Here is a 13,048-nt window from a genome sequence, read left to right as displayed (position 1 = left end):
CCAGCACTTTGGAAGGCTGAAGTGGGTGGATCGCATGAGTCCAGGAGTTTGAGACCAGCCAGAGCAAGGTGGAAAAACCCTGTCTCTATAAAAAAAAATACAGAAAAGTTAGCCAGGTGTGGTGCTGCACGCCTGTGGTACCTATGGTCCCTGTGGTCTCAGCTCACTGCAACCTCTGCCTCCCAGGCTCAGATGATCCTAGCTATTCAGGAGGCTGAGGTGGGAGGATCATCTGAGCCTGGGAGGTAGAGATCACATCACTGCATTCCAGCCTGGGTGACACAGTGAGACCCTGTTAAAAAAAAAAAAAAAGAAAAGAAAGAAAGAAAGAAAGAAAAAAAGATTTTAGTAAAGACCTGTGTCCATGATCGTTGAAATGGTCATCAGAAACAAAACCCATAGTCTGCTTCACAAACATCATTTGGCTTTATATAACTCCAGTTCAGAAGGGAAACAGATTTGGAGGATAAACCTTTGGTGGACTCACCCAGAAAAATGTCAATTAGAGCCAGAATCAAGAGTAAGCTAAAAGAGGCCAGCGCAGTGGCTCACGCCTGTAATCCCAGCACTTTAGGAGGCTAAGGCAGGTGGGTCACCTGAGGTCGGGAGCTCGAGACCAGTCTGACCAACAGGGAGAAACCCCATCTTTTCTAAAAATACAAAATTGGCCGGGCATGGTGGCACATGCCTGTAATCCCAGCTACTCGGGAGGCTGAGGCAGGAGAATCACTTGATCCTGGGAGACAGAGGTTGTGGTGAGCTGAGATGGCGCCATTGCACTCCAGCCTGGGCAACAAGAGCGAAACTCTGTCTCAAAAAAAAAAGAAAAAAAAAGAGCTAAAAGATCCAGGTTTTGTAAAAAGTCACTCTTTTGTACTCAGACTGTAATGACTCTGGACAGATTAGACTGGGTTAAGGATTTTTTAAAATAGTCAAATTATGGATTATTTTATAATGAGGTAATACAGATATGTATGACCTCCTAAATGATTAAAAGAAATTTGTTTTAGAAACACAATGATTTTCTTCCTTGTAAAAGACATTTTGCCTAGAAATTTCTGTCTACTCATCATTATTAATAATTTTAAAAATCAACAATGCATGTTTTTGAGACACAGTCACGTTCTGTCGCCCAGGCTGGAGTGCAGTGGCATGATCTCAGCTCACTGCTCAACAACGCATTTTAATCACAAGTTTGCTTAACATCCATCAAATCCTGATACCTAAAATCAACTTACAATAGCACTTGATTATGTTCTAAAACATGAACCAAGTACTAATCCTAATTTTCAAATCTGCAAATAGGTAGGTACGTTTTATGAATTACTAATAGTCTTTAGTTGTAGTATATATATACACGAAAAATATGTTAAGGTGGTCTTAAATAAAGGCCCTTTCTTTTCAAACCCCTTCAATGTAATTTTACTGGCGTTCCAACAATAAATCAGATCATCTCCAGAGGTCTATTATAATATTTAATTCTACCATTTGTAATATTTATTCAAATAAAGGCAGTGCTTAGCATTTATAATGGCCATTTCCTTTCAGTAAACCAGAAATGGACTTACCCTATGTGAACTTTATTACTATAAAGAAACAACACTTCCAAATATTATGCATACTATATATCTTAGTCTATGTCAAAGAAAAACTACAGAATCATTCATTCCAAGTGATTACCACTAATTGAGGAAGCTATCTTCTCCTAGGCTTCGGGTCATTTAAAAAAGTGTCCCCCAGTTCTTTCAGCTGTTCAGATCTTACTCAGTGGGCCTCCCCAGTGCTTGAAGACTGCTGCTCAAAGCCAGATTTTATAGAAGAATGTGCAGCATGTCAAGTGATTCAGAGTGTAAACAGACTTAGGAAGCGCAGATACGCGAGACTGAGAAGCAACACAATAGACTGACCTTCTCATCAACCTCTTCCCCTCCCCTTTCCTTAACCATGGAAAGTCAGGCAAAGTCAAGGCACCAGAAGAAATAATAAATGAAAAATGACCCCCGCCAACTGTGGATTTTCAGTGCCTGATTACCCGCCCATCTCATCTTATGCATCAAAGAGCAAAGGGTATGGGAGAGCCGGTAGAGTAGCCAGGAAGAAAGGAAAAGAGGGATTATTTACTGGCCCTTTGAGATCTGGTTACCAGCCTGAAAAACAAGAACAGATGTATTTGCATGATTATAAAATAAAATGCCTTTCAAATAACTTAATCTTCAGGAATATTATAGTATATACATTTGTTTTTAATTCCCTAGGGATAGGCAACAGCCCGTGGGATCCTTTGTTTACCCGTGGGTATAAGGATGGAAGATTCTTACATGCACCCGGGAATGCATGCTAGTGAGCAACACGTGTGAGAACCAAGAGGATTACAGTATTATCCTGCTATTGTTTTCTGCACTACATCCACTTCAATCTACAGGACAATGAAAACAGAAATGGGCCCAAGAGATTATAAACAGGCTGTTGCCATTGAAGTCTGTTCTTCTTATGTTGAAGCAGCCCAGGATGCAGGCTTTGTTTCTTCAGGTTCTATCAAAAACCCTCCAAGAATGTGAAAAGAGTTAGTGGAGGTGAAATCACCCAAAAGGCAATTACTGTCTTCTCTCTCAGAGGAGTCAGTTTCAGCCAAGCAGACATAAAAATATAAAGTTTCCATCATAGCTGAAAGGTTCAAAGCCAACAGGCAAAGTACACGGGCTTTGGAAATGTTCGTGGTTAGTGGTAGGTAAGAAAGGATATAAACGCAGCAGCTCAGACTAAATATGAATTTCAGGGAAAAGGGAAGAACAGAGTGCAATGCTCTCCCACACTGTGCTTCCCTAGGATGGACGCAGACTTCATTTTCCATTTGGCACAAAAAGAACCTAGACCCACCCCAGCTGGATCATTCAAAAAGCCCTCAACGTGTTGTGTCCGCAGGGCCCACTTTTGCTCTGAACTAGGCCAGCTGGGCCAGCTGTCAAAAGGCTGAGCTCCGTCGAGTAGCAGGAGGCCATCAGGGTCACATATAAAAGCAAGCTGACTGGCTCATAGGGCGACAATCACATCAGACAAGGTCGGCTCACTTTTTCCATTCCAAGTCAGGGCTGGCCTGTAACGGTGATACGGTCATATTAATAACAACAGGGACATTAAAACCTTTCAGGGAAAGGGCTCAAAATGCTTTCCAAGGAAAAGCCTGCTATTAATTCCCCAAATGACAGATAAGACAACTCAGGCTGAGAGAGGGAGAATGATTAGGCCCAGAGAGCACATATGAGTTGGACAAAACTGAAAGAAAGAACTGAAGCCCACCCTCCCAGGTCACATTCTGGTCCTCAGAGTATTTTTCAACTCCACGGGGGCCTACTTCCTAAAAGACTGACTGCTCTGTTCTCAGGAACTGCAGAGGCTGGGCAAGACTCTCTGTACTCCATGTATTGTTTTAAAGCCTTCATATCCCACTAACTTACCTTCTGATTTAAACAGATAAGGGTCGTCTTTACTGTTTCTGTTGCTTTTTAATTTAATCCATTAAAATCTGCTAGAATTGCAAAATAAAAACCAAAACAAAATGTAGAATTAAGAAAAGCGGGCAGAAATGTTTACTCCTCCCACTAGCACAAGCAGGTGGTGTAATGTATACTCATAAACACACTCATCCCAAAGGTACAGCTTCTCATATTCCCCTGAGTAATTCAAACAATAACTAACTTGTCATTTGCTTGTTATTTCTCATTTAAACTAAAACTAATCTTTCAAAGTTTCCTATCAAACATATCAGAAATACTATGACTTTTCTCCATTTATAGTCTAAGATGATTTTGGAATCACAGAGTTACCTGGGCCTTCTTTCTAAGCAACTGGCACACATTGCTAAGCACTTTCTAATATTAAAGAGGCTATATAAACTTGTGATTAAGAGAAGGGACTTTGAGGCAAAGCTCTACTATATATATATAGATATATATCTACTATATATAGATATATATATCTATATATATCATCAGGCAAGGTTATATATGTTATGTATGTTTTATATATATGTATATATAACACATATATATTTGAGACAGGATCTTGCTCTGTCAGCCAGGCTGGAGTGCAGTGGCATGATCACAGTTCACTGCAGCCTCAACCTCTTGGGCTCAAGCAGTCCTCCCACCTCAGCCTCCCAAGTAGCTGTGCCACCTCACCCAGGTAGCTCTACTCTTTATGAGCTATGTGACCTTGGCAAGATCCTTAACCTCTCTGTCCAGCTTTCTCATCTGGAAAACAGGAAGAAGAATCACATGCTTCCTGTGGCTGTTGAGAGAATGGTATGAGCCAACACATGCAAAACGCTCACATGAATGCTCTATGCATAGCAAAGCCACTGCATGCATGTTAGTCCACAGACGAGCTTCCACTTTATGATAGAAAAATAAAGTTCTATGCCATGACTCCTGCCTGGGGGAACCACACCAAAGTGAACAGATGGAAAACAAAGTATGATTTTGGCATATTGTTTGGCTGAATGACAATAGGTAGTGAAGACAGTTAAGTAGAAAAGTCATTGCAGTAATCAAGGAACACTTCTTGTAGGAAAGGAATGAAATTTTCATCAAAATAGGAATAAATGCTTCCTTGGTTCTCTTTGGGTTATTCACAGTCCCTCTTATATTGTATACTTATTAGAGTATGACAGGAAAATGCTGGATTCAGAAATAATTATGCTTGTCATACAAATTTTTTAAAAAGAGCAAGAGACAATCCAATGGTTATCAACTGTCTGATGAAAGTGTTTCCTAGGTAGCTATTTATTTTAGAATAAGAATGACAGTAACTATTAAAAAATATTTCCTGCTTTTTAATAACTGCACCTTAAGATAACACTGGTGTTCTGTCTCATCAACTGAGGCCCTATTCAACCTGCTGAATCCGACTTCAGTCACTCATTCATCAAATGTGGTTTTTTGACATTTTTTCCCCTACCACCTCCCAAGCACCGAGTACTGAAGTGTTAGGAATTTAGAAATAAATAAGACACATTCCTTGTCCTCAAAGTGTACCTTAAACCAGAATATTTTAATTAATATTTTGATTTTTCTAATAATATATTCTTATATATTTACTTTCCCAAATTGGAAAATTCAAAACGTTACACAAAAGATTAATGAAACAGTGATAAACCTGCCACACAGAGAAAACCACTCTGGTATACATGTCTCTGATCTTTCTCATAGGACAAATAAATAAATGCAAATGCAATATAATCATGATAATACCATTAATTGGCCTTGTTCATGGATATAATAAAACTTTTCTCAAGCCAGTAAAATTTCTTTGAAGGAATCATCTTAAATGTTGTATGCTGTTCTCTCATAGGCATAGTCTATGAAACAATCGCTTCAACATTACCGAAAGATGAAGATGAATCTTTGACTAACTACTAAAGACACTGTAAATTGATGTATATCCCACAGAGATGGTGTGCGGGATAAAGGGAATCACTCCTCGGAGAAGCAGGCCACCTTTATATATTCAATTGCCATGACCTACATAGCATGGGCTGTGTTAAAATAAAGCAACCCTCAAAGTCAGCCAGGAACTCTCACATATCCCATGGCCTCCTTCCCCTATATTCTCCTTCTGCTACCTTTTCCCTGAGAGCTGGAGGGCTTTACTGCTTAGGCAGTTTTCCCATCTTCTAGGACTCATGGCAGAGAGAAGGCCATGTGAGTAGCTAGAAAAAAAAATCCCAATTAAACCTAATGTTCTCTTAATAAACTCACAACTGTCTTTAATATAAACTAGTTAAAGATGTAAGTAATACTCAAACAATGGTGATTTTGCTGGTTATGTATGCCACGCTTACTTGTATAACTCAGAGCGTGTCCATTTGTTTGTTTTTAGAGTCACTTCCTTCCAAGGATGTGGAATTAAGTGGTTATACAGAATCAGCTGTCAAACTTGGCACTGCAGTCATGTTTCCATGCTTAAGAAGGCAGATACCTTTCTAAAAGAGTAGGACTATGAGAAACCTTCTTTATAACTAACAAAAGTAACATGGGTTTATATGCAATAATGTTTCGAACCAGCATAGTTTTATGCACCTGTCATTAAAAAGCAAATGGTTGTGCTCTCCCCATATGGCATTTTCATTTCTAGAACATAGTCATGTGGTCATCTCAATTTCTTCACAGGTAAACAAAAGAAATCATTGGAACAAACTATGTATTTTCTCATATTTATGGGGAAAAGCGGAAGTTTTTTCCCCTGAAACGTCCAGTGTTCAACACTAGGTATATCACATTTCATGGAATATAAAGTCTCTTGAAAAGTTACTAATATCCAAACATCTGTTTTACAATTTTTTTTTTTTTTTGAGATGGAGTCTCACCATGTTGCTCAGGCTGGAGTGCAGTGGTGCAATCTTGGCTCACTGCAACCTCCGCCTCCCAGGTTCAAGCGACTCTCCTGTCTCAACCTCCCAAGTAGCTGGGACTACAGATGCCCACCACCACACCTGGCTAATTTTTGTATTTTTAGTAGAGACGGGGTTTCACCATATTGGCCAGACTGGCCTCAAACTTCTGACCTTGTAATCTGCCCTCTTGGGCCTCCCAAAGTGCTGGAAGCCACTGCATCCCGGTGTTTTACAATTTTCCCATTGGCTTCCATTAGACATACAAATACGTATAACTGAAGAAAATTATGAAGAAATCACAAAGCTACAAAGAAGAATTTAGGCCAGGCATGGTGGCTTACGCCTGTAATCCCAGCACTTTGGGAGGCCAAGGTGGGAAGATCACTTGAGCCCAGGAGTTTGAGACCCACCTGAGCAACATGGCAAGACCCCATCTCTACAAAAAATACAAAAATTAGCTAGGCGTGGTGGTGTGTGCTACTAGTAGCTGGGACTACAAGCACATGCCACCACGCCCACCTAACTGGGAGGTGGGAGAATCGCTTAAGCCTGGGAAGTGGAGGTTGTAGTGAGTTGAGATCACACAACCACACTCCAGCCCAGGCAACAGAGCAAGATCCTGTCCCAAAGAAAAAAACCCAAAAAACAAAAAACAAACAAAAAAAATTAGAACTTAGCCTTGTATCAGTTTTCTATTGCCACAACAATGCTGCATAACAAATCACCCCAAAACTCAATGGTTTAAAACAATAAGCACTTTGCTGACAAGCCTCCAGGTCAGCGATTTTGGTGGGCTCAGACAGGGTTGGCCAGACAGTTCTGGTCTTAGCTGGGTTCACTAGCATGTCTGTAGTTCACCCCTCTGCTGGTAATGAGGATGGCATCAGTCAGGACAACTGAGATGATCTGACTTTCCCCCACGTGGCTTGCCTTCCAGCAGGCTAGCCTGGGCATGTTCTCCTGACAATTTCAGAGGAGCAAGAGGCCAGCAGAAATACACAGGGTGTTTTCCAGCTCTGCTTGTGCTGTGTCTGCTAAGTAAGTCTCATTAGCCAAAGCAAGTTGCAAGCCCAGCTCAGATTCAAGGATAGGGAAATAGCCTCCACCCTTGTAGTGAGAACTGCCAAGTCACATAGCCCAAAGCATGGCCACAGGGAGGGGTGAAGAATTGGAGTCATTAATACAACTAATCTACCCCAATCTTATATTCTTAAATGACAATAAAAATAATGACAATCAAAAATAACCAAGGTATATCAGATTTTTGAGAGGAAATTGGGTTCAATATTCTAAAGCACTTGTGGGAGGAAAAAGATTTCTTTCCTCACCTATTTGTAGGCTCACAGCTGAGGCAGCTATAACAAAAGACAGGTTAGCAAGAGAAGAACATACAAATTTATTTAATATAAGTTTTATGTGACACAGGGGCCTTCAAAAGGAAAGTAGCCCTCACCCTGCCAGCCAAAAAAAAAAAAAAAGCAGGAAAATCTATGTATTTTTATGCTAGGTTTGATAAAGTGGACAGTCATGGAAAAGCATGACTGGACAAATATGGGGGTCTATTGGTAATAACTGGGGGTACCTAGCAAGGCCTGTTTGAAGAAGACAGACACGGATTCTGCCTTCAATCACAGAAGACAGAATCTATGAATGTCTTCCTCAAAGAAGACACAGATTCTTCTCTGTGTCCCTGAATCTTCAGAGATACGTGTGTTCCTTTCCTCCAGGTATAGGGAGGGCACCTCTGCAATGAGGGCCTTGTGACCTGCTTCAGGGGAGAAGGCCAAGGGGAAGACAATGGAGACCTTCCTGCTTCTGCTTTTTTTCAAGTTCCAAGTTGCTGTATTTTGGAGTAGTATGTCCTGAACCCCATCAGTAACACAGAAAAGAAAAAGTGGACAGTAAATTAATAGAACAAAGCAGATATTGAAAAATCAAGAAGTTTTCTTTTCCCCAAAACATTTCCTCTATAGCCTACAGTAGGATGGCATATTTCCTGATTTCTGAGTCCCTTTTTTCTTAATAGCTAAGGGAAGAGGTTTGTATTTAGTACAATTGATCTGAAGAAAGTGGAAAAGAAAATAAATAAAACACAACTAGTGATTTCAGCTCACTTTATTGTTCTTAAAACAGGCCACAGGCCAGGTGGAATGGCTCATGCCTGTAATTCTAGCAATTTGGGAGGCTGAGGCAGAAGGATCACATGAGGACAGGAGTTCACAACAGCCTGGGTAATCTAGCAAAACCTTGTCTCTAAAAAAATACAAAGATGAAGCCAGTTGCAGTGGCTCACACCCGTAATCCCAGCACTTTAGGAGGCTAAGGCAGGGGGATCACTTGAGCTCAGAAGTTTGAGACCAGCCTGACCAACATGGTGAAACCCCGTCTCTACTAAAAATCAAAAAATTAGCTGGGCTTACTGGCGGGCGCTCCCAGCTACTCGGGAGGCTGATACAGGAGAATCACTTGAACCTGGAAGGTGGAGATTGCAGTGAACCGAGATCACGCCACTGCACTCCAGCCTGGGCAACAAAGCTAGACTCCGTCTCAAAAAAAAAAAAAAAAGAAAGAAAGAAGAAGAAGAAGAAAAAGAAGCCATAAAGGTATGTTTTACCTCTGGGCAAAAACTTTCCCAAGACCACTCAGCCAGTCTGCTGAAGGTAAGATTCAAATGTGGGATTAACTTGCACACTGATGTTGCTCCACACTACATCAGAAACAAGTAAGATAGTTACTGACTTACAATGACTTTAGGGTGGGCTTATCAGGACATAACCCCATGGTAAATTGAGGAGCATCTGTATTTAAAATCAAATAAATGCTGTTCCTTCTGTCTAAAATAGTTTTCCCTCCTCATCTAGTTAATGCTTACCTTCCTTGAATATCTTCAGTTCCAGATTCACTTATTTGGAGATACCATCTTGATCTTCCTGACAGTATACTCTCCTTGTATATTTCTCTCTGTATCATGTACTTCTTCCCATAGCAGTCACAGTTTTATATTTGTTCATGGAATATTTGACTGCTGACTGCTCTCACTAGACTGTCTACCCCATGAGGGTAGAGACTCTTTCTGGTTCTGTTTCATCTTTCTTTGGATGCAGTATAGTTGCTGACATATAATAGCTCTGACATATGTCAAATGAATAAAGGACTAGATAAAAAGCAATAAATGGGAGGGAATGATGATTGGCAATATGTGAGAGTATTATGGATAATAGAGCATGTACAAGGCTCATGAGACCAAGAAAGTTCTTCATAGTGAAGTTTTAGGTAATCAATGTTTAAATGAAGGAACTAAACTGAAATACATGTTTTAATGTTTTTAAGTTCAGTGTTTAATACGTGAATGTTTTGAAACACAGAAACAACCACGTTTCATGTTTTTAATAGTAAGAAGCAGAGAAAATCAATGTCAGAGATTTATCAAACAAATGTGGTTCCTCCCACAGGATAAGCCTCTTTTCTCTAGCATTTTCAATTACAGAAGAGGATGGAAGGAAAGGTGTACATTACATGCCTGATTTGGAGTCAGCTGATGCAAAGTCAAATGCCTCACTGAGGCTCTGTGCAAGTATTTGACATTTTCTGAAGAAAATTTAGAATTGCATGCATCCACTCCTCACCACCTACTTGCTAGTGTTATGATACCTTCTGCATAGCACAGGACTCACTTTCTGCCACCTTGTCTGCCAGGACATATTTTATTCTGGTTGCAAACTGAAAAAAGGCTTCTTTTACTTATCCTGAAAGAATGCATGTAAGATTTGGGTTTTCTGGTTAAATTTATAATGGAATCGGAAATTGCTTCAGGAAGGAAACTTTAGCACCCGCCTGTCATCACTACACAGAATAATATGGTTCCATAACATCACAGCCCCAGATGAATGCCTTATACGCAGGGCTGTGTACATCTCACACACTGACTGTATTCAACCCAGTGGAGTTATTCAGTCATCACTCCCCGGCCACCGCTTAAAATTCTCAGAATATCTGAGTTTATGACACTGGATTAGATGCTATAATTCTCAAGACAAAACAGTCAAACAGGAAAGGAAAGGCCTCTTCATGATGGACGCAGAAACATCACGATAAAATTTTAAGACCAGACTTCAGAAGCAGAGTCCACAGAGAAACAAAAGTGAGCTGAGGCATAAAGATGGCTGCGTCCTTGACTTCAATTCATTTAGGCTGCAATGTTGACACACTAACTATCTTATTCACTCACTGGACTCACTGCTTTTTGTTTAGAATAAGTTTGCATATGGCTATGTATAATTCAATAAGGAAAAAAATGTCAAAATGGACTTTCTTTAATGGGTTTTTAGAATTATCCAATAAATATGTAATGATGAAGAAAGCACAGTGCTTAATATTTGGGAAAGTACTGACATAATAATTCAATGAGAGCATGGAAAATGAATGAAGAAAAGAAAAAAATGAAGGGAAAACCTAAAGGAAGGGAGAGAAGGAGGAAATCAGGGAAGGAGCAAGGGAAGGAGATGGGAAAAAAAAACAGAAAAAGAAAGGTATATATAATGTTTATGCAACTTCCACAATGAACACTCGTATCTCAGCAAAAATCTTACTGGTATTACTTTCTACTGGCAAATTCCATTGGAATCTATCCTATTTTCAAAATATTGTCTTTCATTTAATTTTCTATAAAATACTATAGTATTTTGATAAAATGTTTTCACTGCTCTCCCCTGCTTTATTAAACAACTCTGAATCACACAGATTTGTAATAGGCCCTGAAGGTAGAAATTACTGATACTTGGTTTATTAAATCAAAAAACAGCCTGTAATCCCAGCATTGGAGGCCAAGGAGGGATCACTTGAGCTCAGGAGTTTGAGACCAGCCTGACCAACATAGTGAAACCCTGTCTCTACTAAAAATACAAAATTAGCTGGGTATGGTGGCACATGCCTGTAATCCCAGTTGCTTGGGAGGCTGAGGCAGGAGAATCGCTTGAATCCAGGAGGTGGAGGTTGCAATGAGCCAAGATGGCACCACTGCACTCCAGCCTGGACATCAAGAGTGAAACTCCATCTCAAAACAAACAAACAAACAAAATAGATGTCTATTTATGTAAATAAACAGTTGTGTTAAAGGCTAACAAGGTGAAACAAATATGATAGTAGCAGACAAAATAAATTATCATGTCCCTTGGGAAGAAGAATTGGGAGAAAATAGCTGTGAGTTTTTCACAGAAGGGATGAGGCTTCATGCAGATTCCTAAAGTCAGTAGAGAGTCACCAGACAGATCACAGAAGAGGGCATTAGGAGAAAGCCTTGGAGGCAAAGGGAATAAATACAACAGCATGACAGCCTGAAGGAGCAAGTGCACCCAGGGACCTATGGTGGAAGTGTAGCTGGAAGGCAGCTGAAAATGGACAGTAAGTCGGCCGAGTAGAGAAAGGTCAATTCATAGAAGACCTAAGATGGCATGCATAGATGATATTGATTTATTGTATAATCAGTAAATTTGAAGCATGGGGGTAAAATTATATGGTTTTCTTTAAAAGATACAAACATACCACAACAATATGGAAAATAGTCTTGAATGGAGAAAAGATCAATGAGAAAACACTTAAAATAGTCCACAAAAGAGAGATGACAAAGACCTGAAATACAGCAGCAGTGCTGGTATTGGAAAAGGGGTGATAGATTGAGAGATTACAAATGAGGAACATCTATAATAGCTAGATGGATATAAGAGATTAGGCATTGGCAAAAATGTAGAAGTTTCTAGTTATATACAGGTTTTTGGTATGTACGTAAAAAAGAACAAGAGTAAGTCTAAAGAGAAAGATCATAATTATGGCTTAAATGCATGGATTTTTCTGTGGGATATTCTGCTAGCAATTAATAGGAAGGAGCCAAAAATATTTAAGAGTGCAAAGAGGTAAGGAAACAAGCCTGAAATGGAGATATTGATTTGCAGTCATCGGCATTCAGGTAGCAGTGGATGCAGGCAGCATTGACAAGATTGCCATGGGAATGCATGGAATTGAAAAGAGAATGAATGGTTAACTGTAAATCTATAGAGACACAGTCACACAGCATAAAATGATGTTTTGGTTAACCATAAACAGCATATACAATGATGCTCCCACAAGATTTTAATGAAGCTGGAAAATTCCTATTGCCTAGTGATGTCATAGTCCTTGTAATGCAGTAGTATAACGCATTACTCATGTGTTTTTAGTGAGGCTGGCTAAACAAACCTACTGTGTTACCAGTCTTATAAAAGTCTAGCACATACAATTATGTACAGTAAATAATACTTGATAATGATAATAAATGGCCATGCTGCTTGTTTATGTATGTACTACTCTACTTAGTGTTATTTTAGAATGTATTCTTTCTATATAGATAGATAGATATTAAAAAATATATTTTTATAAATATATAGACTGGGTGCGGTGGCTCACTCCTGTAATCCCAGCACTTTGGGAGGCTGAGGCAGGCAGATCACAAGGTCAGGAGTTCAAGACCAGCCTGGCCAAAATAGTGAAACCCCATCTCTACTAAAAATTAAAAAATTAGCTGGGCATGGTGGTGGGTGCCTGTAATTCCAGATACTTGGGAGGCTAAGGCAGGAAAATTGCTTGAACCCAGGAGGCAGAGGTTGCAATGAGCCAAGATCACGC

At 39.8% G+C, this 13,048-nt stretch overlaps 1 long non-coding RNA gene across 2 annotated transcripts in view, besides 4 other annotated features; it reads right to left on the bottom strand.

Moving 5' to 3' along the window:
• Positions 1-13,048, bottom strand: part of LOC105374971 (uncharacterized) — a 241,097-nt gene that overhangs the window by 139,877 nt on the left and 88,172 nt on the right. The gene's annotated exons all lie outside the window — the stretch shown is intronic.
• Positions 6,840-7,340: an enhancer, noted in NCBI's record as "H3K27ac hESC enhancer chr6:22443327-22443827 (GRCh37/hg19 assembly coordinates)". NCBI's record gives its function as "activates a minimal SCP1, AML or CMV promoter by ChIP-STARR-seq in naive H9 embryonic stem cells {active_cell/tissue: H9 hESC(naive)}" and the evidence as "EXISTENCE:reporter gene assay evidence [ECO:0000049][PMID:30033119]".
• Positions 7,341-7,841: an enhancer, noted in NCBI's record as "H3K27ac hESC enhancer chr6:22442826-22443326 (GRCh37/hg19 assembly coordinates)". NCBI's record gives its function as "activates a minimal SCP1, AML or CMV promoter by ChIP-STARR-seq in naive H9 embryonic stem cells {active_cell/tissue: H9 hESC(naive)}" and the evidence as "EXISTENCE:reporter gene assay evidence [ECO:0000049][PMID:30033119]".
• Positions 7,341-8,824: a biological region, named in NCBI's record as "MED14-independent group 3 enhancer GRCh37_chr6:22441843-22443042".
• Positions 7,625-8,824: an enhancer, noted in NCBI's record as "MED14-independent group 3 enhancer chr6:22441843-22443042 (GRCh37/hg19 assembly coordinates)". NCBI's record gives its function as "activates an origin of replication core promoter dependent on BRD2, BRD4, P300/CBP and CDK7 cofactors, and independent of MED14, by STARR-seq in HCT116 cells {active_cell/tissue: HCT116}" and the evidence as "EXISTENCE:reporter gene assay evidence [ECO:0000049][PMID:35650434]".

This window comes from Homo sapiens, chromosome 6 (assembly GCF_000001405.40).
Source record: "Homo sapiens chromosome 6, GRCh38.p14 Primary Assembly".
Classification (NCBI taxonomy): Eukaryota; Metazoa; Chordata; class Mammalia; order Primates; family Hominidae; genus Homo; species Homo sapiens.
Note: the sequence above shows the minus strand (reverse complement) of the source record. Positions and strands in the feature narration are given on the sequence as shown.